The sequence below is a fragment of the Homo sapiens genome, chromosome 13, assembly GCF_000001405.40.
Source record: "Homo sapiens chromosome 13, GRCh38.p14 Primary Assembly".
Classification (NCBI taxonomy): Eukaryota; Metazoa; Chordata; class Mammalia; order Primates; family Hominidae; genus Homo; species Homo sapiens.
This window is the reverse complement of record NC_000013.11, coordinates 101373572-101398198: the sequence shown is the minus strand read 5'-3', so window position 1 is coordinate 101398198 and position 24627 is coordinate 101373572. Positions and strand designations below refer to the sequence as shown.

General features: G+C 34.7%; 1 protein-coding gene across 8 annotated transcripts in view; it reads left to right on the top strand.

The window, feature by feature from the left end:
• NALCN (sodium leak channel, non-selective) overlaps window positions 1-24627 on the top strand; it is a 363404-nt gene that overhangs the window by 18981 nt on the left and 319796 nt on the right. For all 8 annotated transcript variants that reach the window (XM_011521069.3, XM_011521067.3, XM_024449336.2 and 5 more), the window contains exons 3-6: window positions 2834-3016; window positions 19546-19629; window positions 21143-21282; window positions 21371-21499. In XM_011521069.3, the coding sequence (XP_011519371.1) occupies window positions 2834-3016; window positions 19546-19629; window positions 21143-21282; window positions 21371-21499 (536 nt within the window). The remainder of the gene's footprint in view (window positions 1-2833; window positions 3017-19545; window positions 19630-21142; window positions 21283-21370; window positions 21500-24627) is intronic.

Below are 24627 nucleotides of genomic sequence, written 5' to 3'. Positions count from 1 at the left end.
TTTTTATTCACATCACGCTTCTGCTTTATAATCATGGAAGCATCCCTATTACCTTCATTGCAAATTAAAATACGTTAGTGTGACATTCCTGCTTCTTTTCATTCAGGACCTAACCTGTCCAGCAACTGCTCCTTTCCTGTGTCAGCACACTGTCCACTTGAGCCCCATCAGCAGCCTCCTACTCCTCTAGGCTCTCTGGATTGTTCACATTGCTTTCCCTGCTCGTACTGCTCCCTGGCCCCAGTGACCCTTTCCCAGCTCCTCTGATGAGTCAAATCCTCCTCATCCATTAGGACTGGATGAGATGTCACCTCTGGCATCCTCCTCTGAAAGGCTTATTTCCACCACAGACAGAATGTACCTCTCTTCTCTTTCCACTTAGCCTGTTTTATATTTGTATGTAAATATAAAGTTATCTATAAATAACTGTATTTTTATATGCATCATATATTATGTGTATATTTACATTATATACATTGTAGGTCGTGTGTATATTTATATAATATACATATATTTATGGATCTATTGTCTTAGGTATATATACATGTTATATACACATACATATAAACATATAACAGGTTATATGTATATCACATATATACACATTACACATACACATATATGTTATATGTGTTAACATATATGCATATTACCCACACATATAAATATCATGTGTATATAACATATATACATGTCGCATATGCATATACATATATATTATATGTATGTATAATGTGTACATATATTTATATGTGCATGCATATAACATGTATATGTAATATGTATATATGTTATATACGTGAGACTATACATGATATATGTATATTATGTCTTATCTAGAACATGTTTTATAATGTTATATAATGTGACATGTTTTTGCCTCTTGCAGTGCTTGTCTTTCCCCTAACCATGATACATGCAGGATCTGCATGGACTCTTTGTTGTCCTTCCCAGTCTGTCTTTCTTTCTCTAATCTGCCTTCCAGACTACATGTGTTTACATGTATGTGTATTTACATGAAACATAATATATACATACATATAACATGCTATGTGTATATGCACACATTATATATATGTATGTGTATGTATATATATATATATATATATATATATATATATATATATATATAATACATTCATAGGTGTTTTACTTCTTGGACTGCAAAGCAGGAGTCAGAAGTGTGTTGCTTCCATATTTTGTTCTCCATTCCCAGCATTCTGACACATAGTAGGCCTTCATTCATACTTAGAGAATTGAATGGAATAGAGAATGAAGCACCCCTAACTTTTTCTTAGTGTCCATCTTATTACAGAGCTTTCTACAAACTTATGAAGAAGGTAGTATAAAAGATGTGGCCTTGGAGGCACTTACTAAAATTAATAATTCTTCATTAAAATTATGTCTTTAAACTAAAAACACTTTTGTTGTTGAAGAACTTATATTTGGAAGCTCTTTTGTATAATTAGATTCTTTATGTTGAAAGTCCAGATGGGGCTAAATTCACACACCAATGTTTATTGAAGTGCTTCCAAATTGCATGAAAAATACATCAACCTTTAAAGTAAACTGAATCATCAGTGGCTTATGTGGTATGGAATTAGCAGCAAAATATCTTCATGTAAATATTATAACTGTCAGATAAATATTATAACTCCTCAGCTGCAAGTGTCTGAGTCTCCTGAAAGTTCTGACAGTCTTTTCTATTTTTCATCTTGAGTATTTGCTAGTATATATAGCTGCAGAATCCATCTACTACAAGACTAAAATTTTTTTCAGAGTATTATATTAAAGAATTATCATAATTTCATATATGTCCCAGATAGTCAATAAAAACGTATTTGGATTATGTTTAAGAATTGTATACTAATTGATTAACTGGTAATATTAATTGTGGTGGGTTTAGCATGGAGATGCAGTTAAGTATTTTTTTAATCCTAGATACTAGTTTTCATAATAAAATATTGAGTATGAGTGATTGTATGTCCTGTATATATATTCATGTTAACACACACTTATCTTTAATTCTTTCTTCTTATTTTGGGGTTAAAGAAAATCTTCAGACAGCAGACATGCCTGTAGTGTTGCACAGAAAGTTATTTTGTGGAATTTTGAAAGATGTCTGGGCTAAATTTGTATAAAATGTGTTCTCCAAAATAAAGAGAAAAAATCTATGCATTTTTTTCAAATGTAGGATGAGACCAGATTTTTAAAAAGTTTCTTTGTATTTTTATACAAAGGCATTATATATCAGATACAAATAGAAAGGAAATTCTAAATATGGGATGTGTTATATATCAATTCATTTAAAAAGCATTTCTTAACTACTATGATAGGCCCTTGTGCTAGATGCTAGGGAAGTTATGGTAAATATAGTATGCCCCTAATTCTAGGTACTTATAGTACAAAAATGAAAAAAAAGTAATGGCACATCAAGTTCCTATGTGACTAAATTACAAACACATATTTTAATTGAACCAGAATCTTCCTATATTGTAGTCTGATGCCCAGGAGGTTATCAGATGTTTGGGAGAGCCTGATCAGGTTCCGTCTATGCTTTGGGTCTTTGTAACGCATGGCCACAGAAATGCCTCCACCTTTCTGTCTTAGTGTGTTTATGTGGAAAATAGGTGCCTTGAGAATTAAATGATATAAAAACGTGAAAATATTTGTAGCACATTATATGCACTTAGTGTTAGATTTCTTCTTCTTCACCTCCACATTAGTAAACTATTTTAACCTCAGTATTATGTTTTCCACTTAGTGTGGTTCATAATACAAGTTTGAGATATCAGTTATGGTGCCGTGTAGTAACTCTGGACCATCATTGCAGTGGGTTCACTCTTTGCTGCGCATCTGTGCCATCATCAGCGTCATTTCTGTTTGTATGAATACGCCAATGACCTTCGAGCACTATCCTCCACTTCAGTATGTGACCTTCACTTTGGATACATTATTGATGTTTCTCTACACGGCAGAGATGATAGCAAAAATGCACATCCGGGGCATTGTCAAGGTGAGCACTTCCATGTCATTTAAACTAAGAACCTAAATGTGTTGAAAGTCTTAATCCCTTTAATCATATTTTCTTGTTCATTTCAGTAAAACAAAACATCATTTTATCTTATACATATGGAAGTCCTTTTTAAAAAGGCATAACTCCAGAGACTGGGAGAAATTGTTGCATGAGACTATTTTAAAAGTTAAATAAATTTTGTAAGTCACAAACTCTTGGAATATCTGAGAAGGAACAAGATGGTTTGACTAATGACTGTGTGAAGTCTCGAGTAGGGTTATTCATGCCACTTAGGGCTGAGCCCACAACCCAGCACAGGGGCTGGCCCAGAGAAGCACCTTATTATTTGTTGACTTAGGGAGTGCAGAATCAGAGTCACATGATAGAGTTAGAGCATGATATTATTGCAGCACGATGTCATTTACTTGATGTGTTTTGAAAATACAAAAGGATAAAAAAAAAAGGACATGAGATGGAAAAAATGTCTGGGGCCAAAAGGAAAATTATGTGTCATGTGAAATTAGTACCAATTGGAAACAAAATAGATATAAAATGTTTTAAAAGGGTAAAGAAAGGGAAAGAAAAGGAAGAAAATTTCTGTCACTGGATATCTTTTCCTTCCATAGCACTAATCTTTACATAGGTTAAACATATGTAGATGATGCTGTCCCTAGAGTATTTAAATTGTACTATTTGGGGAAGCAGTAATAGGAGTGCAGATTTTAGAGTTTGACAAATGACAGACGACTCAGATCTTAGTTCTTTCACTTACTGGTTGTATCAGCATCTCAAGTTAGCTAATTTTGGTGAGAAAGTGTTTTATTTTGTACAAGGATTTTGAGAATCTACTGAGACAATATATAACACATAATTATTTGTCAATTTCATTGCTTCCCTTTTATACATAATTAATTGTGTGCCATCCTTGAAAGACAGAGATCACAGACAATGCATTAATAGGTTCTTGTTTAACTTTTTATTGTGGACTTTAAAAAATTTACCCCAAAGTATATTACAGTTATAATGTGAATCCCTGTAACTACACATCAACAATTATCAATATTTAGCCAATTCTGTTTCATTTTAAAGCAAATCTGAGAAACCAAGTCATTTCAGAAATAACTCCTTTTGTATTGGTGACTGATAAAATTTTCTCTTTTTATAACCACCATACCATTATCAAATATAATAATATTTTACATATGATAAAATATTTGTAACAAGACTTAGCAATAATTCCTTAATGTAGGCTAATACTTAACCCACCGTTCATATTTCCTAATATTGTCACAAATTTTTTTTATGGTTGGTTTCTTCAACTCAAGACTCAGACAAGGTTTACATAGTATACTTGATTGTTTTTGTTTTCGTTTTTGGGAGGGAGGTTCACTTTTGTTGCCCAGGCTGGAGTGCAATGGCACGATCTCAGCTCACTGCAACCTCTGCCTCCTGCATTCAAGCAATTCTCCTGCCTCAGCCTCCCAAGTAGCTGGGATTACAGGCATAAGCCACCACCCCGGGCTAATTTTGTATTTTCAGTAGAGATGGGGCTTCTCCATGTTGGTCTTGAACTCCCGACCTCAGGTGATCTGCCCGCCTCGGCCTCCCACTTATGTTTCTTAAGTCTCCTTTAAGTCTCTGTAAGTCCACTAAGTTTCAGCTTTTCACATCCTGCAAAAAATTTTCCTATGTCATTGATCCATTGGAAGACATGCGTCTTTTGTCTTGTGGAAGATTCTACATTTGAGATTTGGCTGATTGCTTCCAGATGGTGCTCTTGAATAGTTTCTGTGTACTCCTTGTCCTCTGAACTGCTTTGTATTTTGACCAGCAATGCGCACAGGTGCTTCTTTCCCACATGGTCACCTCAAAATATGTCAGACTTCTGGATATTTGCCAGTCTGAAGGGTGGGAAACGGTAATCCACTGTAGTTTTAATTTGCATTTCCCTTTTGAGAGTGAGGTTAGATGGGATTTTATGTATCAAGAGCCATTTTTAAGTTACTATTTTTTCATTCAATTTTGGCCACTCTGTGTGTGTTAGAAGTATCAGCCGTTTGTGATATAAGTTGCAATTGTTTTTCCCAGTTTGCCATTGTGATTGGCTTTGTTTGTGGTTATTTGTACCATACACAATTCTTATCCAAATCATGGACAAACTTTCTATTGTCTGCATTTTATGTCATACAGGAGAGTTTTGTAGGTTTCCTCATACAGATTTTGCACATTCTTGGTTATATTTATGCTTTGGTATTTTATTTAATCATTTTGTTATTTGTATGAGGTCTTCTATTACATGTTCTAACTTGTTCTTTTAAATGAAGGCTGTTGGTTTCTATACATTAATATTATATTCTGCTACTTTACTAAATGTTCTAGATTCTTGTATTAGTCATAATAGTTTTCCTGCTAATTCTTTTGATGCTTCCATATGATCATATCATATTCAAATAAAGAAAGATTTGTCTTTTTCTTTGTAATTTTTATGCCCTAGTTGCTTTTACTTACTTAAAGTAAAATAAATGAATTGACTAACACTGCCGGTAAAATTTTAAATACTAGTAGAGGTAGTGAACATTTTTATTTTGTTTTGTTTTTGGTTTATCTAGAACATCTCTAGTGTTTCTTCATTAACTAGTTCAAAAAATTGGGATTTGAAGTATGTGTACATTATTGGATTAAGTGAATAAACTTTAATTTCACATTTTGAGAGTTGTAGCACAACTAGCTTTTTAATTTGTCAAATGTTTATTTTTAATTTGTCAAATTATTATTTTTTCCTTAGTGCTTGTAAGAGAAGAGATTTTTAAATATTGAGTTATCCTTCCATTCCGATAAAGAAAAATCCCTACTGGGTCAACATACATTTTTATTCTATTTTAATGTGTTGTTTTGTTATATATGTTATTATTTTCCTTATTTTAAATTTGGTCTAATCTTTGTCAGGTTTTGATATTAGATTTTTCATGTGTGTGGGTGGCGGGCATGTATGCACACTATAAAATAGTCTGAGCACTCTCAGAATTGTTTTCACTTTAAAAGTTTGGTATCAGTTCCCGGTGAAATCATCTGGTCCTGTTGCGTTTTTGTGGGGGTTCCTTTGCAGTATTTCCTATTTCTTCTATGGAAATTGTCTGTTTTATTTTTATTTTTATTTTTTATTTTTTGTTTTTTTTTTGTTTTTGTTTTTGTTTTTTCGAGATGGAGTCTCACTCTTGTCACCCAGGCTGGAGTGCAGTGGTTCATTTTCGGCTCACTGCAACCTCTGTCCCCCAGGTTCAAGCGATTCTCCTGCCTTAGCCTCCCGAGTAGCTGGGACTACAAGCGTGTGCCACCACGCCTGGCTAACTTTTTGTGTGTTTAGTAGAGATGCGGTTTCACTGTGTTGGCCAGGATGGTCTCAATCTCCTGACCTTGTGATCCACCTGTCTTGGCTTCCCAAAGTGCTGGGATTACAGGCGTGAGCCACTGTGGCAGACCTATGTCTTCATTTTTTAGTAGAGACAAGATCTTGCTCTGTTGCCCAGGCTGGAGTGTAGTGGTGTGATCATAGCTCACTGCAACCTCCAGCTCTTGGGATCAAGAGATCTCCCACCTCATCCTCCCATGTAGCTGGGACTACAGGTGTGTGCCACCATGTGTGGCTGATTCTTAAAACTTTTTTTAGAGACAGGGTCTTGCTATGTTGCCCAGGCTGGTCTCCAACTCCCAGACTCAAGCGATCCTCCCACCTCGGCCTCCCAAAGTGCTGGGATTACAGGCGTGAGTCACAGTGTTCAGTCAAAACTGTCTGTTTCAGACTTGCTTGGTCTATTGGGGTCTATTTGGTGAAGTATATTTTCTTAGGAAATTATCCCCTATTTATTTTGTTTAATTATTTGGTAACATAGACCTGTGTAAATAGCTTTTCTTTCCTCTGTTTGATTTTCTCCTAATTTTGTATTTTTTTGTTATTTTGATTAGCATTTTGTTGTCATCAGGTTGGCTAGCAGTATTTTTTGTTTGTTCCATTTTGTTTTAGGTTAGCCAATTGGTTTGCTCATTTTGTTGATTTTTTTTAAAAAGAATCAGCTTAATTAACTTATTAATTTTTGTTTAATTTTTTTCCTTTAAAAATATTTTTATTATACTTTAAGTTCTAGGGTACATGTGCATAACATGCAGGTTTGTTACATATGTATACATGTGCCATGTTGGTGTGCTGCACCCATTAACTTGTCATTTACATTAGGTATATTTCCTAATGCTATCCCTCCTCCCTCCCCCGACCCCATGACAGGCCCCGGTTTGTGATGTTCCCCTTCCTGTGTCCAAGTGCATTTATTAGTTTCTTTCTTTGCTTTATTTGGTTTACTTTATGGGTCTGTTTCTAACTTTTCGAAGGTGTTTGTCTCACATTTTCATTTCTTGAGACTCTTAAATCTGCTGCTTCCTTGCCTCGTGGTTAAAATGTTAACCACAAGGATAATGTTAACCAGCAGCATAAAATGTTACTGCTGAGAATGTTTTTTTTTCCCTCGAAGTGGCTTGCTCTTTTCTCCTGAATACGGAAAGAGACTTTCCCTTTATTGTTCAAGTCAGCAGCTCTATGAGAATGTATGTTATCTTTTTGTTGATAGTTACGGATATATTTTCCTAGTTTCATCATGTGATATTTATTTTATTGCATTGTTTTCAGGATTCCTTTTGTATTCTAATTATACCAGGATCTATGGTTTGGTCTTTCCTTTCCTTTGTTTTCTTTCCATGTATTTCCCTCTGTTTTTATGTTTTCTACATTCTCTTTCCCTTGCTTCACTCCTCATGCTGTCCCCTCACTCCTCTGTCCCCTGTATTTCACTCCTCTTTCTCAAATACTTTTTTCATTTCTTTTTCATCATTTCCTGAACAGTTTTTGTTCTTTCTTTTTTTAGTCTCTTATCATTTAGACATCATTTCTGTGTTTTCTTATTTCTAGTTTTGTGATTCTTTTGGAGCTTCTATTTGTTTAAATTTCTTTTGGTCATGTTGTCATATTCGATTATAGTCTTCATCTGCTTTGAGTGTTTATTTTCTGTTTATACGTTTATGTATTATTTTATTTTTACTTTTATTATTTTTTGAGACAGAACCTCGCTCTGTCACCCAGGCCGGAGTACAGTGGTGCAATCTTGGCTCACTGCAACCTCCACCTTCTGGGTTCAAGCAATTCTCCTGCCTCAGCCTCCTGAGTAGCTGAGATTACAGGCACGCACCACCACACCCGGCTAATTTTTGTATTTTTAGTAGAGATGGGGTTTCACCACGTTGGCCAGGCCAGTCTCAGACTCCTGACCTCAGGTGATTCGCCTGCCTTGGCCTCCCAAGGTTCTGGGATTCCAGGCGTGAGCCACCATGCCCGGCCTATGTATTATTTCATTCATCTTATTCTGTAATGTTTTTACAAGGGCTTCATCATGATCCGTTTGTTTGGTTGTTCTTCTTGTTGTTCACATGAAATGGGAGTTTTTCCCACACATTGGGTAGAGTAGCCTCTGCATATTGTCAGTACGAGGGGTCCCTCCACTGTTGTTATCCTGATGGGTAAACATGGAGCTTTTCTGTGTACCGACCGTCAGGTTCTGAGCTCTGCTGCCTCTGGACTGCTGGCCCAATTATCGAATATTTCTTACCCACTGGCCCCAGTGTCCCTGCCCTACTGAATTGCCATTCTAAACATGGGGCTGTGGTCTGGAAAGGGTTTTTGTTGGGTGTCCTTTGGAGTTTCTAATATTCCATTGCCTCTGATCTTTCTGCAGTTTCTTGGGGACATTGGTAGTCATTTGTTTTTGTTTTGTTCCTTTGTTTTACATTAACCTGCAACTTGCAGCCTACCAGTTTACATTTCTACAAATGTTGCCATTTATTTTAAGGTTCACCTTCTGAGATATCTGCTCAGCATTCCACACGTATTTATTAGTGATTTTGGGGTTTTGGAAATCTACTGGTTTATGGAAGAGGTGGGCATCCTCCATAGCTTCAATGAACAGATTTCAGGATGATTCCAAAATTGTCTGTATCTTCCACAATGTGGCTAGGCTAGTTTTTATAAGCACTAGGTTTAGATAAGCATAGGTTCAGAAAACTGGAACCTGTCTCAGGAGGCCATCTTGGGAGAAAGTTGGTCTTGGGAGAATGCTAACATCTCTGTTATTCACAGTACTCCCCTGGACGTTGCCCGGCCCTAGCTCACATTCTGTGTAGTTGCCCGGCCCTAGCTCACTAGAGGGCCATGAATGGCCCTGTCACTTGTGTGTAGTGGTTATTGGGGCCATGGCAACCTTTGCCCATGCATTGAAAGATCTGAATATTCTGGGTGAAGCATTTTATGATTGAAATTGCCATGTGTTGACTTCTTAAGGGTTCCATTTGAATGAAACAAATAAGTGACATGTTCCTACAAGAAAACTTTTGTTTTTTTAAGTCATTAAATAAAGACTTGGATTTCACATCACTAAAATGATAGTAGGCATTCTGCTAGTTGTCACAGTCTAATGATAAAAAGAACAGAGGCATACTTAATATATAAATTATATACTCATTCCAAGTGAACAGAGCAGTGAGAGAACACAAGTTTTAATAATGTAAATGTTAGAAGTTGAATCAATAGTTAAAAGAGAAAGAAATGACTTAGGACCAAATCGTTTTCAAAATGCTGTAAATTAGCCATTTCCAGTATTTTCACATTTCCATCAACATTTGGGTGATGAGCTATTTACTACAACCAAAATTTTTTTTTTTATTTTCAATCTGTAAGAGGTGAAATTTAAAATGAAAATCAAATAAGGTTTTCTGGTTTTCATTCAGAAATAATTGGATCAAATACAACTGTAATGCAATTTTAGTAATATTGCACTGTTAACATTATCTTGAAGTAGTCAGCTCAACTTCATAGCTCAGTAAAACTGGTATTCTATGTTTAAATGCTAGCTAACGTTTTAGTTAAATATAGTTAAATATGAAATCTGTTTATCCTGAACCAAGCTTTAAATGTATCAACTCACTAAATTTTTACCATCATGGCCTCTATTATTGTTAGAGGGTAATAATTATATCAGTAAGTACTGTCATTTTCATGATATTAAATCTAAGCCACAGTTTTATTATTTTTATACTACAGACTTCTTCAAACATGCATGTCATAACAGATACAGCTCAAAGAGTATATTGGGCTTGATATTATTTTCTTATATTCAAAACTTAAACTTTTAATAAGACTTTATTTTAGCAAAATGTCCTTTGTCACATTAAATGTATGTTCCTAATTTATATTTTATTAGCTTTGCATTTTTGTATTTGTAAATTTGTTTTGCTTTTATACTTACATGAGAAATTTGTACATATTGTAGGTGTTTAAGTTACATCATAATAAAAACACACTGTCACATCGAAGTTCTATACCTTTCAGGGGACCTCTCATATTACTCAAGTTTGAGTTACTATGCTTTCTTCAACTCTACCATAATTTTTAAAACTTTTGTTAAGCACTTGTCTGCTGAAAACCTCATCATTTTTCATACTTTTTCTACCTTAATACATTTGCCAATAGCACTGCAGTTATCTCTCAATTCTTTAGTCCCTTCACCCAGAATAATTTGCAAATATGTGCTGCATTTTCTCACTAACATTTAAGCTTGTATTTTTTCATACATAAATAGGAACGTTATGAATATACATGTTCTATTTTAATCTTCAGGTTACACTTTTCATAGTAAGTTTTCACATTGTTTGGAACAGAGTTGTGCAAATATGAAATGTTTAATATTCACTGATTTCCATCTAAAATATTTCTAAGGAATAGTCAAATTTAGTTATTGAGTGAGCAGTACCTGTTAGCCATGTGTTCTGGGTGGAAAAGTGTGTGTGAGTTGATGTACACATATGCCAGTGATTTGCGAAATGCTAACCTGTTTTTTTTTTTTTTTTTTTTTTTTTTTGAGACGGAGTCTCGCTCTGTCGCCCAGGCCGGACTGCGGACTGCAGTGGCGCAATCTCGGCTCACTGCAAGCTCCGCTTCCCGGGTTCACGCCATTCTCCTGCCTCAGCCTCCCGAGTAGCTGGGACTACAGGCGCCCGCCACCGCGCCCGGCTAATTTTTTGTATTTTTAGTAGAGACGGGGTTTCACCTTGTTAGCCAGGATGGTCTCGATCTCCTGACCTCATGATCCACCCGCCTCGGCCTCCCAAAGTGCTGGGATTACAGGCGTGAGCCACCGCGCCTGGCCAACCTGTTATTTTTTAAAGAGTCTTTTCCATGCATAAAAGTATGTTAGTCCATAAGAAAATATTTATAGAAGCAAACCAATGTATTTTTGCCCAGCTGTCATGCACAGTTCTTTAAAATTATACCTAGCCAATTTTGGCAATGTTATGGTGTACCTAAGAGTCATACCTAATCGTTAAAGTAGTGTTATCCAATGATACCTAGTTTATAAAATTATGCACGACAAACCAAACCCAGAAACTTTATTTTTTCAAAACAAACGTGTCAAAGCTGTGGCTTCCTAGCATTGCCTACTAAGTTTATTGACCTAGTAATTTGCCAAATATATTAAAATATGTATAAATATAAATATAAAATATGTAAGATATGAAAATGTTTAAGATATTTAAGATATAAATGTAATATAAGAATGAGTTATATTCTTAAACCCAAGTACAGTTTCCAAGTTTTCCTTTAGTCATCCAGCAACCATTTATTGAACACTTACAATGAGCTCATCTCTGTCCTTGGAGAAGGGAAACAGACAAAACCAAGCAGAGCTCCTGTCCTCAGAGAAAACCTGGTTCACTCTGTGGGACAGACTTAGCACATACAGGCACTCTTCATTTTCAACATCCAATATATTTCTGAAAACATGGTGGATAGCATATTTTCAGAAAATAGGCACTTCTCTTTCACTAATTTATATGGGAAAACTAATAATGTATTAGGGGAGCTCGACTGATTTCTCCAAATATCACTGCATTACCATCTAATACCTATACAAGTCAACCTGCATATTTCTGCAAAATAAAAAGCATTTAAAACATCCCTTACCCAATTATTTGCACTAATCAAACCACAGTGGATGTTTTATATGTGCCCAACAATAACAGGAAGTTTCTGTTATTAAGTAAATTTAAAAAATACATTAAAGTACCATCCACCATATTTTATTGAATTGTTGATATCATCAATTGTAAAAAAAAATGGCATCACTTCACAGATTCACGGGTCTCTAAGAAATAATAAAGGCTTCTAATTATACTTTGACTGTAAGATGTAAGATTTTAATTGAAGCATCAATTAGAAGATGCATGCTGAATCCAGAATTGTGCAACTGTGTTGGAGCAGGGTAGGGTGTGTTTTAGAATTGGTGAAATATGATAAAATGGGCCTGGGTTGGTAAACTCAATTTTTGGATCTTTTGAAAGGCTAACTTTCAGGGGAAAGGTAAGACAGAGGAAGATATCAATGCACTAGTATTAAATAGTTAAGTAGGTAAACAATGCTGGTACAAGATTGGGCCCAAAAGGTGAACAACAGAGATACACCTGCATTGCACACTATACCTTTGGCAGAATCCACTGGCAACTTTAATGTCTCCATTGGCACACGTGCAAAGTCATTATGGTGGTTCTTCTAGGTTCATAGTGATTCTGGGGCAAACATTTTTTGCAGATATAAATAGCAAATATTAGTATAATGAGAATCTACATAGAGAGGGACCTTCTTTTTTTTTATGAAAGGGCTTTAATAGTGGTCTGTAAAAGCTATGGGGGAGGCAGGCATAAAAAAGAAAAGGACCAAAACTGTCTGCTTGGGGATATCAGAGAAGTCTTGAAGAAAGAGGAACGTGAAACAATGCCTTGAAGGATGAGTAAGTGTGGTCTGTGGCAGGGGTGATGGAAGTAAGATAGAAGTAAGGGATCTCACGGAGAAAGAAAAGGAATATGAGGCACAAAGGAGTGGAACAGCAAGGTACATGCCGAGCTCAAAGTAGTCAGAAGTGGCAGATGGGCTGTGCACAGGAGGCAGCTGGAGAGGAGTTTGTGAAACTAGACCTGGCTGCATCATGGAGGGCCCAGCAGGCTCTGCAAGGAGTTCTGACTTTGTTCTGTGGTCAGTAAAGATGCATGGAGGATTTTCATCTGAGAGTGGTACAATCTGATTTGTGTTTGAATAGTTCACTCTGGAAGTTACATGCTGGATGCACAGCTGGGGAGAGAAACTGAAGCAGAAAGTCCTTCCAGCAAGAAATGTCTTTAACAATTTTTGTTGGAGGAATGCATTTGTTTTAAGTGTTTTCCATCTTTTATAATATTCCCAAAGCTTGAAGGTGCTTGCCCATCAATTCCCACTCCTCAACAGCTTTCTTCTAATTGCCTCCCTAATTCCTCTTGCTGGAAGCATTTTCACTCACCAAATCCCTAGAGGTGAAAAGAAACTATTTGGATGATACATGTCTGTGTTGTTGCAGAGCACTTCATGCATTGCAGACTGTGAGTTCTTTAGACCATTCTCAGTTGTCTATTTCACATCTGGCAATAGATACAAGTAAAAGTAGCATGCATCCTTTAAGCACTGTTGAAGTAATATATAATGATGCTAAGACATAGTGACAGATGGGCCCTGGAAACTTGGGACAATAAATCCTGTTCTCATGAAACTGTACCAGTGCATATCATTTTGTCACTGCAAAATATATCCCTATAAATGTGTTTCCTTTTTCTGCTTGTTAAATACTTGCATGATATGTTGTTACTTTCTTACCTTATCGTTGATTGGCAGTCTTCAAGTGTTTACCGTTATAAAAATTGACATATACAGCTCTTGAAGCACTCCTCTCCTCAGCCACCAAAGTGCTGATTTTTGCGCATAGCTCAAGCACTCTCTGCCCTCCATTTCTTGTTGATGGAACAAACAAATTAAAACATTTTTTCATATTTAAGGTGTTAAAATATCTTGAGTACCACTGGGCATTCATATGTGTTAGCTTCTGGTTGCATATTTTAGAATTGGGTTGCAAATATTATAACTTGAGCCTCAATACAGTAGAATTTTAAAGGATCTGGCCATGCTTATAAATGGAATCAAAGCAACTTTGACTACTATGGCTAGGGCTTCTGACGATAATTTGATAAATGTGCCAGATACAAAACATAATCCAAGATTGTATTGCAAAGTGTCAGATTTCAAGGTCTGCATTCTACTTATTTAAAAGTATTATAAACTTATTGTGCCTTAGCAATTATTGATAATGATTAATATGATAGTAATTTTAATTCCTACCAGTTCAATTGTATTTACAATCATGGTAATGTATAAAATATGTAAACCGTAACTGTATTTGCATGGCATGTTTAGTTCTGCTTATGCAAACTATGCTAATCCAGGAAGTATCCATAAGTCATCTCATAATCTCGTCTGTGATCTTTCATGGTTACAAAGGAGCCAGAAAGGAATAATTTCTTTTTAGAAGCATACAAATAATTTCAGTGAATAGATGGATGGATGGATGCATTCATTAAGAAATATTAACTGACATCTTGCTGTATACATTGTATATTAACTGACATCTTGCTGTATACACTGTATCTAAGACATGGTTCATGTACCTATCTCATCATTCATTTAATATCTGCTATATGTCACCCACTGTACTGGGTGCTGCAAACACAACCTTAAATTATCCGACTTAAAGTCTCAGGGTGTTACTCATCTTCAGAATACACTCAAACATTTACCATGAGAGATAGACTTCTTTTTTTTTTTCTAATGTAACTCCAGAGAATACGTTCAGAGAAGATTTAAGTAGGAAACTCAAACTTCACCATCAGATCCAATAAGTTGGAGAGACCAAATATAAATTCATGAAATAACCAATATGGATTACAAAGGCATATTCTGCGAGTAACACAAGATGCACATTATTTATATACATGAGCTGAGTTGTCAGTTGTTGCATGACGCCTGAGTTAAGGTGATCAGAGGAGGCTGTAGTCAGATCACTCTGGAAGGAAAGGTTGGCACAGACTTGGCAGAATTTTTCGGGAAGATGGACAGCATGAAAAACAATGAACATTAAAAAGCCAAAGATTTTTTACAAATGGAAAAATGCTGAGGGTTGCTGGCCTTTGTATCTTGGGTCATAACTCTGCTTATAAAAGATGTTTATGAATATTGAATGACTCTTGGAAACATGAGCCAAAAAGTAATACATGAAACTTATGCCCAGAGGATTATTTCCATACTTCACTGGGAAAATAAAAAGAGGTCAATTCTGATTGACCACTGCATACCATCTAGCATGTGCTGAGCTTGTTGGTGACACAGGAATGCCACTATATGTTTCTGAAAAGTCCAAGGCAGAAGACATTCCAAACAAAACAATTAAATTACTTCCTATGGAAAAGAAAGTTTTCTACATTACATGGTAGAATTTTTGCTAAGCCAGTTTTTATAACTGAGGTCGTTCGAAATTAAGATGTTTGTATGCTTCTAATTTCTGATCACCACTGGTGCTTCTAAAATGATTTAAAATAATTCATTATTTTATATAGTTTGAAATGTAGTGTGGGCCAGTTTTACAACATTAATTTCCTTAGCAAAGAAATCAGAAACAAAAATTCAGTCACATCTGTTATTGATAGCTTTTCATTCTGAATTGGTGAGGCCCCAATTTTTAAATTTAAATTTATTTTTGCCAACTGGAGAAGTGATTTTGTTAAAGCTAAAATGTCCAACTTAAAAAAAAAATTGAAAAGCTATTTTTAAAAATTTAACATGTAAGCATTGGTCCAAAAACATATCAGAATACATTGTGAAAAGCATGTCTCTCCTCCACCTTTGGCTCCTGGCCATTCACTTGCCCGCCCCCCTCCCCATAACACAAAGGGAAGTATCACTGTTTATCCTCATTTGTTAACATTGTAAATGTACCTCATTGTAATGGTGAACTCTCATTCAATGTTCCACCGAGTTTAATTCATTTCTAAAGCAAATTATGAGCAATTAAAAAGAGGGTAATTGTAGTGCTGCTACATATAACATTGTTAATGACAAAAATGAAATAAAATAGTAATACTGTTTTGAAAAAGTACAATATAAATTCATCCTATTTGGGTGCCCGTGTACTCAACGATCTATAATTACTCTTTTCCTGCCTAATATGTACTCATTCATTGCTCCAATTTTAACATAGTTCTCTGCTGAGTCCCATAAAATTTCAGTTTTCGTTTTTGGAATTCTTTGCCTTTTTAAAAACAAGTGACAACTCTGCCTAGTTCTTAAAATAAAGATGAAGTGATACTTTTCTTTTTTTTTCCCTAACACACAAGTAAAAAACATTTGTTCATTTAATAAAAGTCCATTTGAAAATATACACTTTTATTTTTCTTCATGACACTTGTCAACATATAACATAATGAATATTTTATATTTTATTTCATTCAGAATGTAAATTGCTTAAAGACAGAAGCGTTTGTTTTGTTCACCCTCGTATCCCTAGTTCTTGAACACTGCCTAGGTTAAAGGGATGCTTATGAGCTGAGGGAAAGAAGGAAGTAAGGGAGGGAGAGAGGGAGGAAGGAATGAAGGGCACAACTTTAAATAATTCATCTTCTATTACCTTCTTGGGTATTAATCAAATTTAGGCTCAGAAAAAGTCAATTTTATATGGGCTATGTTATCTGTATTTAGATTATAATTAATTTACATTTTCAACTGTGCAATATACGAGGCAAGTATGATGCTTATAGTTAAAGATCCTCTGTGAGATCTTTAACACAACTATTAAAAAATGCAACTATAAAAAAAGTTGAAGATGACTATAAAAAATCCTTACGTTATTTGTTATATATGTAACCTTTGTGATGCGTTTATGTGTAGCACATAAACACCAGTAGCATCGGTAGCATCCTAAGATGCAGCTTTTCTCTTCCTTGGGTATAAATCTTCATATGATGATAATCACACAATTTAATAAGGCCATTGTCCTTCTTGTCACCCAGAGCCAAGCTTCAGAGTTTGCTTTCATATCTCTTTTGTGAGTCTTCCCAAACCCAGGAGTCACCAAGTTTGGTTGATTACCTTGCCCCTGAAAACATTATTTGTCCGTTCATTTGGGAATTAACATTGGTTTCTCTAAACTCCCCATAGAATTAATCTTACCATCTTTCCCACCATGTTTATAGCTTTAAGTTATTTTGCTTTATATACTAGCTGGATGTGTTCACATCTGTTTTTCTACAAGACTGTTCTTTTGGTTGTTGGTGGTGGTGATGGTGGTGTGTGTGTGTGTGTGTGTGTGTGTGTGTGTGTGTTAGCTAGGCATTATATATCCTCTAATGTAAAACAGGCACTTACCCAGTGTTCATTAAGTTGAGTTTATACTTCATTTTTGGGTCAAATAACTTCCATTAAGTGTTTTATCATAGTGTTAGTTTTGCATACACCATAAACTATTTCCAGAAACCTCTCAAGGAGATATTTGGATACTTATTTGTTACTAAAGGTAGAGGCTTATGTCAATATCCTGCAACATGTTTTATCATTTGATTTGAAATCTTGACATTTTATTTCTATTTTCATTTCCCTAGCAGGTTTAATCAGAGGAGGTAATGATATATGTGACTGAATTCAGAATTGACTTACATGGATGATTACAGAATTCATGATTTAATGGGATAGTCCTAAAAAAGCAAAGGCTTTTCTGTTTAAAGTTTCTAATTTTTAACCTCATGAAGTTTTCTGTTTTATTATTCCAAAGGCATTTTTTAAATTCCCATGTTATTAAAGCATTCTAATGTCAGAATAGATACCCTATTAAAAAATGAAAGTGGTACATCTTTATCTTTCTTTTACATATGCAATCCCAATTAAAATTAAAGTCAATATGTGTTTTCCTTGCAAATTAAGACAAGTTTCTTCTTCACTTTTTTTTGTTAGTCTTGAATTCTATTTTTATTACACTGTGGTCCAAGAGAATGGTTGTTTTGATTTCAGTTATTTTGCATTTTCTGAGAGATGTTTTATGTCTGATTAAGTGTTGATGTTAGAATATGTGCTATGTGACAATGAGAAAAAATGTATATATGTGTATATATACATCCACATATATACAGTGGAAAGTTCTGTAGATGTCTATCAGGTGCATTTGATCTTTGGGGGTTTTTGCCTTAATGATCTAATACTGTCAAGGTGTTGAAATCTCCCAATATTATTATGCAGAACTGTAAGTCTCTTTGAACATCTCTAAGAACTTGCTTTATAAATTTGGGTGTTCCTGTGTAAAGTGCATATATAGTTAGGATAGTTGGGTCTTTTTTTATTATTATAAAAAATTTGCAGAATGTGCAGTTTTGTTACACAGGTATACACGTGCCATGGTGGTTTGCTGCACCATCAACCTGTCATCTACGTTAGGTGTTTCTCCTAATGCTATCCCTCTCCTAGCCCCCCACCTCTTGACAGGCCCGTGTGTGATGTTCCCCTCCCTGTGTCCATATGTTCTCATTGTTCGACTCCCACTTATGAGTGAGAACATGCAGTGTTTGGTTTTCTGTTCCTGTGTTAGTTTGGCTGAGAGTGATGGTTTCCAGCTTCATCCATGTCCCTTCAAGAAACATGAACTCATCCTTTTTTATGGCTGCATAGTATTCCATAGTATATTGGGCCACATTTTCTTTAACCAGTTTATCATTGATGGGCATTTGGATTGATTCCAAGTCTTTGCTATTGTGAATAGTGCTGCAATAAACATACGTGTGCATGTGTCCTTGTACTAGAATGATTTGTAATCCTTTGGGTATATATCCAGTAATGGGATTGCTAGGTCAAATGGTATTTCTGGTTCTAGATCCTTGAGGAATCGCCACACTGTCTTTCACAATGGTTGAACTAATTTACACTCCCACCAACAGTGTAAAAGTGTTCCTAGTTCTCTACATCCTCTCCAGCATCTGTTGTTTCCTGACTTTTTAATGATCACCATTAAACTGGCGTGAGATGGTATCTCATTGTGGTTTTGATTTGCATTTCTCTAATGACCAGTGATGATGAGCTTTTTTTCTTCTTCACTTTTTAATCAGCTTGAAGTGAATGCCTTGTTAGTTTTCCTACTAACGGTGCTAAACCTAGCAGTTTTAAAGACCTTCCTGTTGACCACAGTGCACTCTTGGTTCTTGTAGGCAGGGAGCTGGCTTAGGACCTACATAGCATATTTGGAACAATGGCTTCTGGTTCTTTAAGTGTTAGAATTTGTGTGGCTGAGAAAAAAAAAATAGTGATATTTTCCCTTTGCATGAATTAAATATTTTACCTGCAAAGTTGCTTGTCTTTTATAAATTATTTTTCTTATAAGTAATGCTACTTAAAATGCTAAACTTATTCCTTGTGAAAGTCTGTTCTATTATGATACAAAAATTGTAGATAGCTTTTATTGAAATAATATTTGACATTTTCCTCCACAGATTGTTCTTTAAAATATTTGCTTTGCCTAATAATGCCATGTAAAATTTATTTTTAGGGGGATAGTTCCTATGTGAAAGATCGCTGGTGTGTTTTTGATGGATTTATGGTCTTTTGCCTTTGGGTTTCTTTGGTGCTACAGGTAATTAAATATTTTTTAAATTACAAGCAGGTATTCTCCAAAATGGGAATTATTTTGCATTAAAAGTCTAAATAGAAATATTACAAAATATATATCAAATGTGATTGTGTAATTGCCTACAACATTTTATTTTATTTTTATTTTAACAGATGTGATTAGTCTGTTTACTCTGACATATTTGAAATTTGAAAAATTAATTTTAATTGATACGTAATACTTGTATGTATTTATGGGGGACTGAGTGATATTTGATGTATACAAGGTGTAATGATCAAATCTGCATAATTAGCAATTTTATATCACCTCAAACATTTTATTGTTAGAAAAGTCAATAGCTGTAATATCTTAATTATTGTCAGTTATGATTGTGAATTATTTCTCAATCAGAAACGAAAATCAATACTATAGAAAATTATTAGCTGTTAATCAGATATAAAATATATTCCCTGAAATGAAGGAAACAATGTGGAGCAATATTTCTGTATTTGTAAATAAAAAATTGAACTTAAAAATTTAAAGTCTAGTCTCCCCATATTTGGATAGGTATTAGCCAACATAAAATACTATATTGCAAATATTAAATGCTTTATTATAAGTGATGGGGAACGTACATTAAAAAGACTTACAGGACAGATTTGATTGGAAAATAAGTAGAATTAATTTCTGTGCATTCATTCAGACATGATTTTGCCTTTTAATTCAACTAAAGTTACTATATTCTATTGATTTGATTTGATCTGTTTTGATTTGGTTGTGGTAAGAATGCCTAACATGAAATCTACTGTTTTAATGAATTTTAATTGTACAATAAATTATTGTTAACTGTAGGTACAATGTTGTACAGGTCTCTAGAGTTCAATCATCTATTCTTTATTTAAAAATTCAGAATTCAAAACTTCACAGCCCATTCTGCCAACTCATCATAGTGTTTGTTGATAAGCTTTCCTTTCATATTTTTATAAAGTTCACCTCTCCCACAATTTAATTTCATCACTCATATATTTTTTTAATCAGCTTTGTCAGGTTGAATTGTTTCTCACATTAATGTGTTCTTTTCCATTTAATAACTATTATGTGATTGACAAACATTTCAAATTATTATTTTGCCTGTTAGTAAATAGTGCAATTCTTTTTTAATATTTTAACCCTTTCTCTATTACTTTATTTTCTAGATATTCAAAAGCCTCCACTAAAGAACGTTATTAACAAGAAAGACAGCATACTTACTATATATTCTAAGTTGGCACTTCTTGTAACTAAAAACTGTCTTAACGAACGAGACAGGAAATGAATAAGATTAATGTTGTTCTTATTAGTTTATGTATTTGTTTCTGTTAAGATAGCTATAGCTTCAAAATATACTCAAAAGAAAGTGGATTTTGGTGGAAAATAATGTATGGCTAAATTCAGAGTAGAGGTGCACCTACTTATGCTGCTAACATCTGTATGTTCCATGACTATAAGCAATGCTAAGGGAAAATCCAACCTCATTTACCCATCTTTTAATTTGTAGGTGTTTGAAATTGCTGATATAGTTGATCAGATGTCACCTTGGGGCATGTTGCGGATTCCACGGCCACTGATTATGATCCGAGCATTCCGGATTTATTTCCGATTTGAACTGCCAAGGACCAGAATTACAAATATTTTAAAGTGAGCGCTGCTTTACAATAAGTTAAGAGGAAAAGTTTATGAAGTTTTTTGTAAGTTTTATGTACTTTACCTACTTTTGTTTCTCTAGGCGATCGGGAGAACAAATATGGAGTGTTTCCATTTTTCTACTTTTCTTTCTACTTCTTTATGGAATTTTAGGAGTTCAGATGTTTGGAACATTTACTTATCACTGTGTTGTAAATGACACAAAGCCAGGGTAAGTTTATCTATTAACTGCATTTTAATCTAGTTGATTAACAAAGATATCTCTGTAATTTTCATAAGAATAACCTCTATGTCAGATTTTTTAAACAGTGCTTATGTCCTCTTTGTTCTGTGTCTCTGCTTCCTCGGTATTGTTTTTGTCCAGTTTTTATTTTATTTTATTTTATTTTATTTTTGAGATGGAGTCTCGCTCTGTCATGAGGCTGGGGTGCAGTGGCGCGATCTCGGTTCACTGCAACCTCCGCATCCCGGGTTCAAGCGTTTCTCCTTCCTCAGCCTGCCAAGTAGCTGGGACTACAGGCGTGCACCACCATGCCCGACTAATTTTTGTTTTGTCCAATTTTTAAAGACAAGTATTCAAGACAGGACAGATTGGAAAATGTAACCTGGTGGAAAAGTAGATTAAGCAAATGCAAAGTGTACATTTAGAAACCTTAGTGTGGCAAAATGGGGAGTGTGCTAACATAATAACATAAACCTAGAGCTTCACTGTGGAAGCTTTTCATATTAGAATGAGTTACATGTTCGGGAAAAAAAGCTCATTTTTATTATTATTTACTTTTGTCATCATTCCCTAAAATAGTTTCCTAAATGATTATAACATCATTTCTAGACTAAACACTATTATCTGTTGCATTTGACTGTTGTAGGGTTGGTGGGTAAGATAGAATGTATGTACTTTAATTACCTATTATGTATTATGCAATAGAGCACCTGCCTCTTCTACTTGGCTGATCATTGTTAATATACAACTCCAGGGATGTGATGGCAGGAGAGAGCAGAGTGGGATGTTGGCCCCTGGATGGTCCAGAAGTGTCCCATTAGGTGTTAGCTAGATATAGAGTTTGGGGTTCCAAGCACAACCCAGAAGTGCAACAGATATGACTATGCCAGATTTCAGGGCAGCAGGGATTGGGGATAATACAATTGATTTTATACCTTATATTCAAATCTTCACATAGGAATTTGTCTATTTATAAATGAAGAACTCATCCATAAATTACCGATTGAAAAATCTTGATTCAAATCTTAGAAATTAGATTTAAAGCACTTTGTAAAATTCAAAAAGAGATTACAAGCAGCCATTCATCTTCAAAATATTTTTAATATATCAATATCTACTTACAAACCAATTGGGTATATAAGGATCATTGAGTTTAAAAACATTGAAAGGGTTATGTTGTGTTTTCTGCAGTTGGAGGATTTCTTTTTCATAAAGTCTATATACTTGTATATATACAAAGTAAATAAACCACAAATAAGTGAATATCTCTGTGAGTATAGACATCATGATAAGCTTGGCTCAATTCCAACACTTTATTTTATGAGTTTGCATAAATTATTTAGGTTACTCCTCAATGAAGTAGATTAATAACAGGACATACTTTCTAGAGGCATCAGGAAGAGCAAATGAGGGAATGAATGTAAAGACAAGCAAAGTAACCAGCACATAGTAAAGGCATTCACTGTATGCCAGCTGTCATTATTTTGTTGTCATAAAGAGATACGTAAACACGCTTACATGCTGAGGTGGTAGGCATAAGTGTATCCTCCAAAATAGAGATAACATGGTTAAAAAAAAGGAAAGAGCAATAAAGAAGACCAAAATTTAAACTTGTAAGAGTGTGAAAGGAAAACATCTATGAGTAACTCATGGCTATGTTATTTTACTGACAAAGTAACTAAATTAATTCTGAGTTTATTTCACATTTATAATGGTCATTTAATTATTAGTCTCTCACAGAAATAAATTTAATAATTGAATTTCTAATTCATGCACAAACAGTATATGTATATTATGCAACTCCTAATAATTATATAATGTTCTAAAAACTAAAAGTGAATTTAGTTGTTTGCTGTTGCACCACCCCAAAGAATGTCAACTCCAAAAAGGTAGAGATTTTGTTTCCACGTGTTTTCAGACCAGGAGGCATGTGCAAGTTTCTAGGAAAATATGAATGTATTCAGTAACTTCAAAACATCAGTATAATTTCACTGGTTAAATGTTAAACAGTAAAGCATAATCTATTAGTCAAGGCCTTAATTAATTTTATTTTTATTTAGAAGGCATGCATCTCATACCTACTTAGAAATTTACCAGAGGGGGCTGTGCACAGTGGCTCACACCTGTAATCTCAGCACTTTAGGAGGCTGAGGAGGGTAGATAACCTGAGGTCAGGAGTTCCAGACCAGCCTGACCAATACGGTGAAACCCCCTCTCTACTAAAAATATGAAAATTAGCCGGGCATGGTGGCACAGGCACCTGTAATGCCAGGAGGCACCTGTGATCGGGAGGCTGAGACAAGAGAATTGCTTGAATCCAGAAGGCGGAGGTTGCAGTGAGCTGAGATCGCGCCACTGCACTCCAGCCTGGACCACAGAGCAAGACTCCGTCTCAAAAAAAAAAAAAAAAAAAAAGAAAGAAATTTACCTTAGGTTCACAGAAGTGTGGACAGATACCATGCCTTCCTTGATTATCCATAGTATTATGTTGAAGTAAAGATCTCATTTTTTCTTGTTTTTTAATATAACTTTTATTTTTGCATGATGTGAGTGAATAATCTATTCAAAATTATTTTTAAAAGAAAAATACTGTTGCTACTAACCCCACTCCTAATCTTCATTATTATTGTTCAAAATAGCCTTGGAAAATAACTTTTTGATAACCATTTTCTGGACATATTATTATTTTCCCCTATTATTGAAATTATGTCTCTACTTTAACCACTTTATTGAGATTTTGGTGAATATAAAAATCTTTACATATTTATTATATATGTCTTGAGGGAACTATTTCCTTTTTCTGTCAGAATTAAATCCAGAGAGTAAGTTATTGCATTTATTATTCTACTTCCTGAAAATTATGATCCTTCTCAAATTAACTTGTATATTTCTTATGAGGTACTTCCTGAAAATAATGATCCTCCTCAAATTAATTTGTGTATTTCTTATGAGGTACGGGTCAAGATGTAGTCTTAACTTAGTGGTTGGAATGGACATCGGTATCTTAGGAGAAGCTCTCAGTATTTCCGTTAAGTGGGATGTGAGCTGTAGAGTTTTCAAAGTGAGGAAGTTACCTTTAATTCCTATAGTGCCAAGAGTTTTTGATCATTGATGTA